General features: G+C 40.3%; 1 protein-coding gene across 7 annotated transcripts in view, besides 1 other annotated feature; it reads left to right on the top strand.

The window, feature by feature from the left end:
* PID1 (phosphotyrosine interaction domain containing 1) overlaps positions 1-17,232 on the top strand; it is a 247,315-nt gene that overhangs the window by 76,507 nt on the left and 153,576 nt on the right. The gene's annotated exons all lie outside the window — the stretch shown is intronic.
* Positions 13,774-14,068: a silencer, noted in NCBI's record as "tiled region #3439; K562 Repressive DNase unmatched - State 11:FaireW". NCBI's record gives its function as "represses a minimal TATA promoter and a strong SV40 promoter by Sharpr-MPRA in K562 cells {active_cell/tissue: K562}" and the evidence as "EXISTENCE:reporter gene assay evidence [ECO:0000049][PMID:27701403]".

Here is a 17,232-nt window from a genome sequence, read left to right as displayed (position 1 = left end):
CAGTATTCTATCCTCTATTACTTATTTGCTTTATCCTGTGTGTACACACACTCACTCACATACATTAACCGATATGTATTGCATTCTGTTATATGTATTTCATATACATTATGAAATTTTTAAAAATAGGGATTATGTTCATTTTATTAAGGAACCTAGAGTTAATATGAAGCTCAGGATTAAAAGGACATTCTGTAATTCTAAATTTGATCTGGAAATATTTTTGTATTTAGTGTAATCTTATTGTATTTTCAATTTACATTCTCCTTAATTTAAAAATTCTGTTTCTTAGAGGTAATATCATCTTATGTGCTATTGAATTTGAAAATGATTTTTATTTTTTTTTAAGTTCTTGTAGTAATGATATGTGAAAGCTTGCCTCCACAGTAAGTCTTTAGAATGACATTGTCTTTCTCTTATTCTAGAATATTTTTCAAAGGCTCTGTGTTGGTTTCTTCTCTTTTTAAAAGAGAATTGCCTAAAATTCATAAGGATTGAGATAGTAATAAATCTTAGGTCTTCTGTTGCTTCAATCCAATTAGTTAATGGGGTTTTTTAACTGTGCATTTTTTTCTCTTCTGACTTTGAGATTAACTAGCCATCTAGAAATTATTTTTTGAAAACTCAGAAGGTTCAATATATCCTTGGAATAACTATGGGTCAATTCTAAACCCAGAACAACAAATTAAATTTAATTCCCTCCCAGAATTTTCATTAGGCTTTCTGAACCATAACTTGGTGGCAAGGGACTGGAGATTATTCTTGTTATACATGGGGTAATAAATTCTCTTTGACAATATCCCCCATTCTGCAGCTTCAATACCTCTTTGCATTATTGCTTGCCCTCTTGGGAAGCCATTTTGAAAATAACATATGGCTTTCCCCTTCATTTTGTGAAGCCAGTGTTTAATTTGGCTGGGAGCAAATTTTACTTGACATCAATTTTACTTGTTTTTCTTTCCGGATAAATTACTTTGAAAGGTCTTTTTTTTTTTTCCCAATAAGGCTACGATATAATTTTTATTAAGTACATACTATTAAGTATATATTATTTATTAATTATGTGTCATTTAAGTTCTTCACACACACATACTCTCTCACACACTCACACACACGACATAACAAATAGTAACAATAACAATAAAAATACAGCCCTCTTCTGTAATATCTTAGGGACTTGACTCACAAGAACAACAATATTGTCCTTTGTCTTTACATGTGGTCTGTGTGTGGTAGACTAACAATGCTTGAAAATTTGTTGCTACTTCTTCCATTTGGAGATGGAGTTTAACTCCACTCCTCTTGAATTTGGGTTGGCTTTAGTGACACGACTAACAGGATGTGGCAGAAGTGATTTTCTGAGACTGATGTTAGCTCAGAACAAGCCTTAGAGCAGCATCAGCTTCTTCCCAGACCTTTCGGAACCCAGCTCTCTGGAAGCTCTGAGCCACCATGAACAAAGTCTGACTATCCCAAGACCACTGGAAAAGGCATGGACAAGGGGTCTAGCCAAGAATCTCACTTGAACTCAGTCTTCAACCCATCCCTGCCAAGAGATTCAACTGTGAATGAAGTCATCTTAACTGGCCTGTCCACCAGCTGAATATCACCGGTTGATCCTGGTCAATACCTTGTGCAGTGAAAGAATCACCCAGCTGAGCCCTGCCCATATTCCTGATCCATTAAATCACAAGATAGAGTAAAATAAGGATGCTGCTTTAAGCCACTGAATGTTGGAGTAATTTATTATACAATAAGAGATAACCAAAATAGCATATCTATACTAATCTCTGAAGTGCCATTTGGATATGATGACTGAAACAGCACATTAAAGAAGCAGCATGGAATTAGGAGCTTGGACATTTATGTTCCGGTATTGTTCCTAATAACCTGTGTGGCTGAGAGCAAATTACCTTGTTTCTCTCAACTTTTTTTTTGGTTATAAAAGAGAATTGGCCTAGTAATAATAATAAGAATAAACCTCAATGCAATAAAACTAAACATTTATTGAACGCCATTGTGTCAGGTGCTGAAGTAAGACTTTTAATCCATTATCTAATTTAAACACCACATCATCCTTGTAAATTATAGGTATCACTATGATTATTACCAATTTAAAGATGGAAAAACAGGCTTGGAGATAGCAGGAACCTTCTCCTGTATGTTCCATAAGATACTTTTGTTGTTAACCTTCAGTCTTTGATTATTGGGTGTCTATGATTCTTCAAATTATTGCTTGTGAATTAGGATTTCCTTTTTGTGATAGCTCAATAATAATTTCTTTTTTATTGTTCCAAAATAAATTTTATAGTTATGAAGTAGGACAAAGTCAGTTACATAAAGAGATCACAAAGGTCTACAGTACAATTTATCCGGATACTCTTGATATGTTGGGACAGTAGAAGCAACCAGAAATGTCAAAAGGTTCTTCTTTTGGTCCCCAGTCAGGTTGTAAGGAAGTCATACTAGAAAGTGTAGGTGCACCTTACAAATGGGAACATACTAGTGACAACAGTTGACACATATTTTAAAGAAACAGATCTTGGCAGAGAGGATAAAAAAGGTACTCCTAGGACAACTGTCAAACCGTGTTGTGTATTGAAAGAGCTAGTCTTCCTCTTAATTACTGGCAAAAAGTAAATTGCCCTACATTTTCTGTATTTTTTTGGTTTGGCTTTCTTTTTTATACCCCCTATTTTCTTCTAATAATTTTTCTTTCCCTTTATACTTATATAGTGTGTGTTCATTATCACTTAAAAAAGAAGGAAGGAAGGAAGGAATAAAATAAATTAGGAAAACCACTAATATTAATTGGGTGCCTTTAATTTGTGCTTGCTATTTCAGGTTTAAATTTTTAAGCATTTAACATGTAAATATTTTAGATTGATTTGGTTTTCCCAAGCCACCTGGGTAGTAAAAGTGAAATTGGATTTGAATCCATTTTCTAAACCTGTTTGTGATACACAATATTCCTCACTATCTCTCATGAGCCTGCTCTTTAGTTGATGAGATTTATTTTACTTTAATTTGACTAACCAATTTTTAAAAAAATCTTAATCCAATTTAAGAGTGCTGATTCACATATTGCATAGCATTCCCTGGTGCTTTGAACCTGTTAATTTTTGTTGAAGTATTAAGAATGTCTAAATATAATCTCATGAATGAACTTGTGAGTGGATTGAAAAATACCCCTAATTCTTTTAGGGCTTAGTTGCAGGGTGTGTATTAGCTGCTGAACTCAAATTTATTCATGACGAAGATCTCTTTGAGGCACTGATGGATGTATCACTTCATGGTATCTATTGGGAAGCATTTTGTATATGGAATTGTGCTCTGTGCCATGCCAAGGGAGCCCTGAGAGAGGACCCTGGTTATATGAGCATTTCATTCCTTTCTCTTGAGAGAGGGTGTTGGCATCCTTAGAAGCTCCCTCTTTCCAGAGCACTGGGCCACGTGGCTGACTTGCTGGCTGCCTTCATTTGATACCTGTGAACACTTTCCTTTAGCCCACTTGTTCTCCATCGGTGGCGATTTGCCCTCCTCCCAAAAGACACATGACATTTTCTAAAGACAGCTGGGAGATTCAGCTGTCATCTAATGGGTAATGGCCAAGGATGCTGCTACACACCCAATACATCCAGGACGGTCCCTCAACAAAGAATTATGTGGCCCAAATTTCAGTAGTACTGAGGCTGAGAAACCCAACTCTGGTTTCCCAATCTTTTGTTTTCATTGTTGCTCCCCTAAAGATCCTTTTAGACATTTTTTCCCTAGTAACATACTCCTCAATGAAATGTTAATGTGCTTCATTATAATGGTTTATATACTGTTGTTTTATCTGTGGTTTACACATAAGAAAAATAATCGGTTATTTTAGCTATCAAGAACCAGTTTTTGCCTCTATGGGGGTGATGTGGTCCCTGTTGAGAGTGCATGTACCAGTGGATCTCCTTGGGAAGTGAGAGGCTTGTAAATAACCCAGCCCACAACAAATTGTTGAATGAGACAGAAAAAACAAACAAACAAAAAACAATAGAAAAAGAAAAAACCCAAGAAGAGCCGATATACCTAGGAAATTAGTAATGATGCTTGGAAGCAAAATGTCTGCCCAATATAGTATCAGCAGTCAACTATGAGCTGTAGATAGACCGATAAAACAGATTCTCAGTCTTTCTCCTGCCTCTCAACAGGCAGGCCCCCTGCCCTGGACTCTTCTTCTGCAGAAACAATCTATAGACAGGGACTTAATGTTCACATCCTCTCTCTCTGTGCCCGTCTCCTCTGTAGTTGATCAGTGGGTGACCATCTCTGTTTCCCCTAGTTCCTTCCAGGAGTCTTCAAGGATGCCTGTTCCATGTCTGGCTCATGCCAAATGCCAGGAATTCCATTGGGATAGACAGACTGGGTCCTGCCCCTCCTGCAGCCTGGGGTATAGCTCGGGGCTGGTTCAACTCTATCATTTGCATAATACAGTTGCCAGTGTTTTGATACCTTATGCCATCTCCACAATTTTTGTATAGCTGTATGGTAACTGAAATATTTACTCTCTCTTTTTATTAAATTGACACATCTTGTTAGGTAATACATTTATTTAAAAGGGAATATTTATGCCGTTGCCGTAGAGGGGAACCAACGTCACTTGCCATAACCAGAAGGAAACAATAAAAATGAATACAGTGGAAAAAAAGTTCATGAGCTGTTATTGCTTTCTGAGGGCTCTGAGCCTGGAGTCAGTAATCACTCAGCTTAAAAGGAAGATAAGTGTGTAAGAAAGGTGGTGAAAGTATACTGGCATCAAACTGAGGCTTTCTCACTGATACCGATATTAGCAATTTGAAAGATAATTCAAACGGGAATAACTTTCTCATTATTTAAGGGAGATGAATACTATATAATTCTGTATCTGTGGGCTAGATTAAATCATCTCATGCACCCCATGAGGCACTCCCACATTTTGGGAAACACTGGTAAGCTAAGTCCAGTTAACTCTCTGCCCCGCCCTTGCCTGCCCCTCGACTGTTCTGCGTTATGGATTATTATCAACAGTCAACTATGAGCCATTTGAGGCTTCTTTTTTTGGTTGTTGATGGAGTTTCACTCTTGTCGCCCAGGCTAGAGTGCAGTGGTGCAATCTCAGCTGACTGCAACCTCCGCCTCCCAGGTTCAAGCCATTCTCCTGCCTCTGCCTCCTGAGTAGCTGGGATTACAGGCGTCTGCTACTATGCCCAGCTATTTATTTTGTGTTTTTAGTAGAGATGGGGTTTCACCATGTTGGCCAGGCTGGTCTTGAACTCCTGTCTTCGGGTGATCCACCTGCCTTGGCCTCCCAAAGTGCTGGGATTACAGGCATGAGCCACTGCAGCCAGCCACCATTTGAGGTTTCTTATTTCTCTTTGGGCTCCTAGTGCCAAGCACCATGCTTGACACAGCCACAGTGTTTCTCTGCCACTTGCGTGATCTAATGGACCTGGGGCTGTGCATTGACCTCACATTGGCCCAGGTAGTGTGTAAATTGATTCTGCGTGACTTAGGGTTGGGTGCAGCTCCATGTGTGCATGCTTGGTGAGCAGAGGATTCAGTGGATTTCAGCCTCTACCTGCCCTTGACTGAAAGGCACTCTTTTGCAAGAACAATCTATACAACCACACCCAGCTGCTGTGTATGACGGTAAATGAGATGTGGTTAATAGACACGAAGAGAACTTTCACTTCACGAGTTCTTCTCATGATTTAAGGGTAACCTAAGAAGTTCAATTTTTTTCAGGCGTGCCTTTGATGTATTTATTCTCTTTGATCTGAGGAGCACTTAAGGAGCCGTTACCAGTAATTGTCATTGAGAAAAATTTAATACAGAAGAAAAACAGACTTTATATAGATATTTAAAAAGATGCTTACTAAAGACCAAGGAGATTTAAGGAGCAGCTAGTTCACATAATCATCTTATGCTGTAGAGTAAGGATCTAAAAATCAATATTTCTTTAACAGAACTGTGCTCTGAGTGGTGTTACCTTCCTTCTCTCTCTCTCTTTTTTTTTTTTTTTTGAGGTGGAGTTTCGCTCTTGTTGCCCAGGCTGGAGTGCAGTGGTACGATCTCAGCTCACTGCAACCTCCGCCTCCTGGGTTCAAGTGATTCTCCTGCTTCAGCCTCCCAAGTAGCTGGGATTACAGGCACCCGCCACCATGCCTGGCTAATTTTTTGTATTTTTAGTAGAGACAGGGTTTCACTATGTTGGCCAGGCTGGTCTCAAAGTCCTGACCTCAGGTGATCCACCCGCCTCAGCCTCCCAAAGTGCTGGGATTACAGGCGTGAGCTACCACTCCTGGCCTAACAGACACAATCTCTTCTGTTTCTTTTTTGGTTCTTTTTCTTCCTTCCACCAGTCACTCTCTTCCCCTTTCTTCCCCTTTCCTTCTCTCTTTTCTCTTTCTCTGCCTTTTCCTTTTTTAATTTTTTTTTCAGGGGAGAAGCAAATGCATCCCAAAGTCTTAAAAATCATGCAAATATTTGTCATGACACTGTTAGACCATAGCTGACCACCAAGAAATGAATGGAAGCCAGTTGGACAAGGTCAAAGCAGGATAGGTCAGAGTCAACTCTTTTAATGCCCCTGTTTTAAAGATGAAGAAACCTGGAGAGAATGAATGTCTTACCTCAGCCACACTGCTTTTTTTGTTTTGATGATGTGTATTTGTAATGTATAATTTGTGTCATGGATCAGAATTGATGAGGGTAACTATGGGTTTAAAAGTCAATAGGAATAAGTAGGGATAAGAATGTGAAGGGTAAACATATTCTCAGTGACACAGTGGTACCAGTCTGTATGTAATTCAGCAAATATTTTTGAGTCATTTCAGCGGATGATGAGGCTAAAGCCAGATTAGCATGGGTTTATGAGAGAGGGGCAAAAGGGATACTGGAGAAGAGGGTGAAGCAACTTTAAAACTGAGGTTTTCTATAGAGGGGATGGGAGAAATGGGAAAATAGCTGTGGTGGAGGAGAGATTAGGAGGTGTGGATTCGAAAGAGGATTTTTGTTTTGTTTTTAGCCAGGGGAAATTATAGCTTGTTTTATGCTCATGGAAATGATCCTGGAGAGAGGAAAACATAAATGAAATAAGGGAGTGATATGGTTTGGCCGTGTCCCCATCCAAATCTCATCTTGAATTCCCAGGTATTGTGGGAGGGACCAGTGGAAGGTAATTAAATCATCGTGGCTGGTCTTTCCTATGCTATTCTCGTGGTAGTGAGTAAGTCTCACATGATCTGATGGTTGTTATAAGGGGGGGGTTTCCTGCACAAGCTCTCTTTGCCTGCCGCCGTTCATGTAAGATGTGACTTGCACCTTCTTGCCTTCTGCCATGATTATGAGACCTCCCCAGCCATGTGGAACTGTAAGTCCAATTAAACCTCTTTCTTTTGTAAATTGCCCAGTCTCGGGTATGTCTTTATCAGCAGTGTGAAAATGGACTAATACAGTAAATTGGTACCAGGAGTGGGGTGCTGCTGAAAAGATACCCAAAAATGAGGAAGTGACTTTGGAACTGGGTAACAGGCAGAGGTTGGAACAGTTTGAAGGGCTCAGAAGAAGACAGGAAAATGTGGGAAAGTTTGGAACTTCCTAGAGGTTTGCTGAATGGCTTTGACAAAAATGCGGATAGTGATACGAACAATAAGGTCCAGGCTGAGATGGTCTCAGATGGAGATGAGGAACTTGTTGGGAACTGGAGCAAAGGTGACGCTTGCTATGTTTTAGTAAAGAGACTAGCAGCATTTTGCCCCTGCCCTAGAGATTTGTGGAACTTTGAACTTGAGAGAGATGATTTAGGGTATCTGGCAGAAGAATTTCTAAGCAGCAAAGCATTCAAGAGTTGACTTGGGTGCTGTTAAAGGCATTCAGCTTTAAAAGGGAAACAGAGCATAAAAGTTTGGAAAATTTGCAGCCTGACAATGCAATAGAAAAGGAAGTCCCATTTTCTGAGGAGAAATCCAAGCTGGCTGCAGAAATTTGCATAAGTAATGAGGAGCCAAAAGTTAGTCCCCAAGACAATGGGGAAAATGTCTCCAGGGCATGTCAGAGGTCTTCATCTCAGCCCCTTCCATCACAGGCCCAGAGGTCTAGGAGGAAAACATGTTGTTGTGGCTTGGGCCCAGGGTCACTGTGCTGTATGCAGCCTAGGGACTTGGTGCCCTGTGTCCTAGCCACTCCAGCTGTGACTGAAAGGGGCCAACATAGAGCTTGGGCTGTGGCTTCGGAGGGTGAAAGCCTCAAGCTTTAGCAGCTTCCACTCTGTGTTGAGCCTGCTAGTACACCAAAGTTTGCTATAGGAGCAGGGCTCTTATGGAGAACCTCTGCTAGGGCAGTGCAGAGAAGAAATGTGTGGTCAAAACCCCCACACAAAGTCCCTACTGGGGTGTCACCTAATGGAGCTCTGAGAAGAGGGCCACCATCCTCCAGACTCCAGAATGGTAGATCCACCGACAGCTTGTATCGTGCACCTGGAAAAGCAGCAGACACTCAATGCCAGCCCACTAAAGCAGGTAGGAGGGAGGCTGTGCCCTGCAAAGCCACAGGGGTGGAGCTGCCCAAGACCATAGGAACTCACCTTTTGCATCAGCATGACCTGGATGTGAGACATGGAGTCAAAGGAGGTCATTTTGGAGCTTTAAGATTTGACTACCCTGCTGGATTTCAGACTTGCATGGGGCATGTAGTCCCTTTGTTTTGGCCAATGTCTCCCATTTGGAATGGCTGTATGTATCAAATGCCTGTACCCTATTGTGTCTAGGAAGTAACTAACTTGCTTTTGATTTTACAGGCTCGTAGGCAGAAGGGACCTGACTTGTCTTGGATGAGACTTTGGACTATGGACTTTTGAGTTAGTGCTGAAATCAGTTAAGACTTTGGAGGACTGTTGGGAAGACATGATTGGTTTTGAAATGTGAGGACATGAGATTTGGGAGGGACCAGGGGTAGAATGATATGATTTGGCTATGTCCCCACCCAAAATCTCATCTTCAATTCCCACGTGTTGTGGGAGGGACCCAGTGGGAGGTAATTGAATCATGGGGGCAGTCTTTCCTGTGCTATTCTTGTGATAGTGAGTAAGTCTCATGAGATATGATGGTTATTATGAGGGGGAGTTTTCCTGCACAAGCTCTCTTTGCAGGATGCAAAGCTCTCTTTACATGAATGCCTGCTGCCATTCATGTAAGATGTGACTTACTCCTCTTTACCTTCCCCCATGATTGTGAGGCCTCCCCAGCCATGTATAACTGTAAGCCCAATTAAAACTCTTTTTTTCTGTAGATTGTCCAGTCTTGGGTATGTCTTTATCAGCAGCATGAAAACAGACTAATACAGGGGGAAAGACTTGCTGGAGCAGCATCCCTAAGTAGACAGGAGGGGATGGGATCAGTGTGCACATGGACCAATTGGCCATCCATAGGAGTATAGCGAGGGCATCTAGAGAAACATGAGGCAAGATGGAGTCTTGGCGGACAGATGCTGAGGGATGTGAGCTTAGAAAAGCTCTCTTCTGTGTGCATAAGTGTTTTCAGAGATAGGATGTGTGTTAGTTTCCTAGGCCTGCTATAGCAAAGTATCACAAACTGGGAGGCTGTATTAGGGTTCTCTGGGAAAACAGAACCAATAGAATATATATATATGGGATATATATAGGATATATATAGGATATATATGTAGGATATATATATATGGAGGATATATATATGTAGCATATATATAGGATATATAGTATACATATAGTATATATAGTGTATATATATGGGATATATATAGTATATATATAGTATATATATGGGATTTTATATATATAGGATATATATATGGGATACATATGTAGGATATATATGGGATACATATATAGGATACATATATGGGATACAATATGGGATATATACGGGATATATATACGGGATATATATATACGGGATATATATATACGGGATATATATATACGGGATATATATATATATACGGGATATATATATACGGGATATATATATATACGGGATATATATATACGGGATATATATATATACGGGATATATATATACGGGATATATATATATACGGGATATATATATACGGGATATATATATATACGGGATATATATATACGGGATATATATATATACGGGATATATATATACGGGATATATATATATACGGGATATATATATACGGGATATATATATATACGGGATATATATATACGGGATATATATATATATACGGGATATATATATACGGGATATATATATATACGGTATATATATATACGGGATATATATATACGGGCTATATATATACGGGCTATATATATATACGGGCTATATATATACGGGATAGATATATACGGGATAGATATATACGGGATAGATATATATGGGATATATATGTGTGATATATATATGGGATATATATATGGGATATATATACATGGGATATATATACATGGGATATATATATGGGATATATATATGGGATATATACATATGGGATATATACATATGGGATATATATACATGGGATATATATATGGGATATATATATGGGATATACATATGGGATATATACATATGGGATATATACATATGGGATATATACATATGGGATATACATATGGGATATACATATGGGATATACATATGGGATATACATATGGGATATATATATGGGATATACATATGGGATATATATATGGGATATATATATGGGATATATATATGGGATATATACATACATATGGGATATATATATGGGATATATACATACATATGGGATATATATATGGGATATATATAGGGGATATATATAGGGGATATATATAGGGGATATATATAGGGGATATATATATATATATATATATATATATATATAGAAAGAGAGAGAGTGAGGAGAGAGAGAAGGAGAGAGATTTATTATAAGGAATTGGCTTTGCAGTGATGGAGGCTGTGATATTAGAGATCTACAGTTGGCAAGCTGGAGACACAGGATAGCCAGTGATGTGGTTCCAGTCTGGGTCCAAAACCCTGGGAAGCAGAAATGATGGTAGGAGTTCTAGTCCAAAAGCCAGCGGTCTCAAAACCCAAGAAGAGCTGATGGTTCAGTGTGAGTCCAAAATCAGCAAAAGACTGATGTACCCACTCCAAGAGATTAGGAAGGAGGAATTTCCTCTTACTTGATGGAGAGTCAGCCCATTGGTTTTATTTAGGCCTTCAACTAATTGGATGAATCCCACCTACATTAGGAGAAGCAATCTGCTTTACTCAGTCTACCAATTCAAATGTGAGTCTCACCCAACACACCCTCATAGACACACTTAGAATAATGTTTGACCAAATACCTGGGCCCCATGGCCCAATTAAGGTGACACATTAAGTTAACTATCATGAGGGCTTAAAACAACAGAAATTGATTCTTTCACAGTTTGGGAGGCTGGAAGTCCCATATCCAGGTGTCAGCAGGGTTGGTTCCTAACGAAGAATCTGTTCCATACCTCTCCCTGGCTTCAGGGGGTTGCTGAAAACTTGGCTTGCATAATAGACACTTGCCTCCAGCCTCTGCGTCCATCTTCACATGGTGTACTCCCATGCGTCTCTGTGTTCAAATTTCTCTCTTCTCATAAAGACAGAAGTCATTGGGTTAGGGCCCATCCTTGCCCAGTATAACTTCACCTTAACTTGATTACATGTGCAAAGACCCTATTTCCAAATAAGGTCGCATCCATGAGTTCCATGGTTAGAACATCAAACACATTGGAAAACATAGTTCAACCTATAGCGGGAAGCAAAGCCCTCAGCTGAGAATGAGAATGGGGAAGAGGAGAAGGTATTAAACATTCATGTAAATGAGTGCATTAAGGGACTACAGTGAGAATGCTGAGCAGCCTGAACTGCCCACTTGGGGGTTAAGGCATGAAGTGTACGTTAACAGCCAGCTTGGTCATGTGGATTTCCCCAGACCTGGGCATAGATCCACAACTTGATCAGAAAGTGAGTTTTACATGGTTGATTTTCAAGAGAGCTGATGAAGTAGTCAATCAAAGTGTAGTGTATGAAAGGGAACTGTCATGATGATTGACCTTGGAAATTAAGCTGGGTAAGAAAGACCAAGGGACGTGAGAGGGCGAGTCACAGGGAACAGATGGCAGATGAATGGGCTGAGGTCCCTGTCTGGTTGAAGATGGTGGGAATCCGTGGCCTTCAGCTGAAAAACTAAAAGCTCATGGTCAGGGAGTTAGATGCTTAAAATGGAGCTGTGGACAAGTGACCTCTAAGTACCTAAGATTTTAAGTAAATTTCCTAAAATCACTCAACTGTTGTTCTAGGGAGGCTTTTTTTTAATACTTTAAAAAATATGTTTTATTTTGTAAGAGCAGTTTTAGGTTCTCAGCAAAATTGAGGTGGAAGGCATAGAAAGTTCCATATACTCTCTACCTCTTTCCTTCAAAACACACAGCCTCCCCCTTGATCAATGTCTCTCACCAGAGGACCAGAGGGGCACATTTGTTATGTTTCATGAACCTGCACTGATACATCATTAACACCCAGAGTCCATAGTTTACATTAGGGTTCACTCTTGCTGTTGTACTTCTATGAGTTTGGGCACATTTGTTTTGATAGGTATCCACCATTATTGTATCACACTCAGTAGTTACATTGCCCTAAAAATCCTTTGTGTTCTTCCTATTCATTCCTCCCTCCCTTCAAACCCCTGGCAACCACTAATCTTTATACTGTCTCCATAGTTTTGCTTTTTCCAGAATGTCTTATAATTGGAATCATACAGTATGTGGCCTTCTCAGATTGGCTTCACTCAGTAATATACATTTCACTTAGTAATATACATTTAAGTTTCTCTTTATTACTTTTAACTGTGCCATTCAATCTTATTGCTGGAGGCAATTCAGAGGGTTATTAATTTTCATTACAAAAAAGTAATCTGTTCATACTGGTGATGCTTTCTTAAGTCTTCATCACTTAAGTGAGAGACATCTCTGATAATGATAATGTCTACAAAGAGAAATAAAGCAGCATGTCATTTCTAGCTTTTCTATTGCAGTTAAATGGTTCAGAACTTCTAAATGTAAAATTAAGATGCTAAGGATATTGTAGTTATAAATTTGGATCTTTTGATTATCAGTAGAAAAGCCTTAGAGGAATATTTGGAGAAAAGGCTGATCAGTGTAATTTCCTGACTTCACTGTCATCTTGTATTATGTATAAGGTGGTAGTGAATCTGATTTCAAAAGATATTTGCTGATGGATAGCTTTGATCTTGCCGTTGATTCTCGTAAGATTCTCGTTGACATCTCATAGCCTGCAGAATATAGTATAGTTTTTTATGACCTGAGCTATATCTTTTTTTTTTTTCCAGCATCAACTTCTGCTGTTCACCTTTTTGGATTGTATATTTCAACCAAAGTAGACTCTTGCTGGTTCTCAAATACAACGTCTGCTTTCTGCCCCTGGGCTCTTTCTCCCTTCGGGGCCTCATCTGTTAGCATCCTGTTATCTCACCTGACCTTCAAGGCCGTGCTTAGAGGATTCCTCACTAATAAGGCTTCCCTTTAGTCCTGAGATTCTCCAACATTATCCCATATCAGAATTAGCTGGAGGGTGAAGGTGTGGGTTGCCCCTCCACACCTGTGGGCGTTTCTCGTTAGGTGGAACGAGAGACTTGGAAAAGAAAGAGACACAGAGACAAAGTGTAGAGAAAGAAAAATGAGCCGCGGGGAGAGTTCTCTTTTCTTTGTGAAGGGCAGGGTGCCCTGGAATGGGTTCGCCCCGAGAGAGGGGCCCGTGCCTTGGAAAGCGTCGCTGTTCTGGCGGCGTCCAGTGAAACAGCAGTTGAACACGGGTCAGTCGGTCCTGAGAGATGGGCGAGCGCCGTTCCGAAGGGACAGGCAATGGCCTCCCTTGCCCTCAGCGGATCGAAAGGGAGTCGGGTTCAGATCCCCGAATCCGGAGTGGCGGAGATGGGCGTAGTGGAGTTGATGGCATACGAAGACGCCAATCCTGAGTGTCAATCAGCCGTTAAGTCATTAAAAGGAAAGGTTCCCGCAGGCTCAGATGTAATCTCAGAGTATTTAAAAGCCTGTGATGGAATTGGAGGGGCAACCCACCCCTTCAGAGGGCTTGCTAGGTGGCAGGAGACCTGGCCTCATCCCCAGAGATTCTGATCCAGCAGGTCTGTGGTGGATCATGGAAACCTCCATTTCCAGTAAGTTCTCAGATGATGCTGATGCTGTGAATCCAGACTTTGAGAACTACCATGCTGAAGGTTTGAAATCTTTTTCTTAGTTACATTGACATTTTGAGACTTTTTTTTTCCTTCCTAAAGCTTCATTCTGTCACTGGAAGCATAATGTTAGCACATACTTATTAAGCGATAATTATTTATCAAATAATGTCTTCTATGCGCATACAGATATGCACTTTAGATGGATTACTAATTCCCAACTAACTGCAATATTTATAACACTTAAAATTATGTAGGACATAATTTAATCTTTGATGAGTCGACCAATATCTCTGTTCTGTGCATTGCCTAAGGTGTACCTTATAAACATCAATCACTTCTGGTACTCTAGAAAAAATTAGGTCACTTGAACTTTCTGCAAAGACTCATCAAGCAGAGGTTTAAAAGATGAAGGAGACTTCAGATTTGGGACCTGTATACGAAGTGCATGTGGTTGTAATTATTGGCATTTATTCGAACTACAGGAGATTTAGCCAGTCCCTTTGACTTGGCTCTTGTGTTGGTGCAGATTTGGTCTTGTGCTGGGTGGGGGATATGTCCAATGAGGGACTCAGTTGAGGACAAAAGGGACAAGGTGAGTCTGGGCAGATGGGCCTGTTTCTGAGCAGAGGTCCGTGTGGCCAAGGAGAGTCCAGCCTCTTTTTTGCTTCGTGCTGCTCAGTTCAGGGCTAAATCCAGGACAAACAAATGACCTACACGCAGCTGCCTTTGCTTAAATCAGCTCAGCAGACTGTGTTCTCAAACAGCTAGATAAAATCTGGCATTTACTTTGTATCTGGCGACCTTTGCTTTGAGGAGAGCTGCTTTTTTTTGTTGTTGTTGTTGGGAATCTTGCATGATTGGGTTTTATTATAATCTTGCATTAAAGGGCATATGCAATTTCCAATAGGTTAGTAATGAAAATGGTTCAGTCTTACTAAATGGACGCTATGAGCTCTTTTTAAATGGTATGAAAATTTGAGGGCATCTTTTACTTAAAACTTACTTTTGAGTAGTTTTTTTTCCTCCAAATTCTCTCTTTCTTTTTGGTGTTCCTGTTCATCACTCCATTTTAAGAGTGGGCTTTAGTGTTTTGAATGGGAAGCATTTTCCTAATGTGGTATAAGATTAGGAGCCAGAGGAACCCAGACATCCACTAACATCTTTAGAAGGGAATATACATGGAAGGGCTCTGTTTTCTGTAGGCTGGGTGGGCTGGGGGCTGATGGGAGCCATGGAGGTCCCTAGCCTGCAGGCTCTGTCTGCGAGGACTGGCCATTCTTTGGCCTCTGCTTGTGGGAAACCCAGGACTTTCACAGCTTCTCTGTATGAATGGGGAGGGGCACAGAGCCTCAGTATGAGGAGACACAGAATTGAGATCATGAGGGGTAAGATTTGTTGATGGTCTTGGGACCAAGAGGGGAGTGAAATTTGCACCTTCTCTTTTTAAACATTTGCAAACCAGAGGGGTGAGTAGTGAAAGAGTTAGTGGTTAAAGGGATCACATGCAATTTCTTTGGACTGAGTTTTCACATCTGACCTTTCCAGAGAGGATCTGGCTTTGGGTTGGGGCCTCACCCTGGGGTCAGCTCTGCTCTTCACATGGTCTCCATGTGTCCTCCGTCCTTCCTTCTCTTGACTTGTGCCCGGTGCATAGGGACGGTCCCACTTCCTTCTTCACATCTTTTTCTGATTCCTCCAGACCACAAGAGACACTTTCCGCCTCTGAAATGTCAGAGGATGTGTAGTCTCGATCACATAGTCTAGCTCTGTACAGAATTTGACACTTAATGGCAAAGGTTAATTTCAATATGGGTCATTTAAAATGCCTTTATAAATAATAAAATATATTTAATTGGATATAATTAGTAAACATTCAGAAGAAATGGACTTTTTTTTTATTGTGGCTTATTATAGAAAATGACCATAAAATTTATGGCACAGTGGCCAGGAGGATTAGAGTCACTGAGAAAGACTACAATCAAGATTAATGTTGGGACAATAAGATAATCACCAACAAAAGAATTATTACCTGTATTTTCTTTTTCTTAAAAAAAACTAATTGAAGAAAATAAGCTAAAATTTCTATATACACCTTTTTGATTAAGATGCCTTTTGACATGAGCTTACGGGGAGGTTTTTGTTAGACAACTGCTAACGCCTGCCAGGAGGGACACACCCAGGAGATGCCTGTCCTGAGCAGCTCACAGCACTGGCCTTCCCCACTGGGAAGTTTTGGTTCTGTTGTGGTCCCTCTCCTGAGGATAGAGAGCTCTGATGGGGAAATTGCAATTTAAATTCATGTTCGCCTCAAGTATGAAAGCTTCTATTTCTTTTCCTCAGCTTCTGATAAAATAAAAATATAGCAATAAGGGGATTTGATTAAAATAACTGGCTGACTATTTTTATTAAGTAGATGTACAGTTTAAGAAAGAGAAGGGAGTAAAAACTGCAGCCCCAGTCTCTGACTTGGGCCTGTAAGCTGCTGCTGGGGCTGACAGACACTCTGGAAAGAGGGGAAGGTTTGTCGGTGGGGAGACCCTGGAGGACAAGTGGCCCAGTTTGGGGCATTTTGATTTTGAGCTGCACACCTGTGGGCTCAGTTATTGAGCCTCTTTGTTCCTCAGTTTTGACCACTGTAAATGGGTTTAACCGTAGTTCCTACCTCAGAGCATTGTCGTGAGCATTTCCTGAGTCATTATACCTGACATAGCTCTGGAGGCGCAGCTCAATAGATGCTAGCCAAGAGAATGACTGACAATGATGATGATGATGATGATGATGATGAAAGATGCCAGGGGTTCAACTGGATAGTTGTTCCCCTAGTCTGTCTGATCAACATTTTTTCATATGAATCCTTTCCTTATCAGAAGTCTAAAACAACAATCTGTAGAATTCACCCATGAATAAATAAGTCACTCATGAAAATAAGTCACTTGGTGAGATGAGAGTGATGAAAGGCAGACA

This window comes from Homo sapiens, chromosome 2 (genome assembly GCF_000001405.40).
Source record: "Homo sapiens chromosome 2, GRCh38.p14 Primary Assembly".
Lineage (NCBI taxonomy): Eukaryota > Metazoa > Chordata > Mammalia > Primates > Hominidae > Homo > Homo sapiens.
The sequence above is the reverse complement of the archived record's forward strand: the minus strand, read 5'-3'. Positions and strand labels throughout refer to the sequence as shown.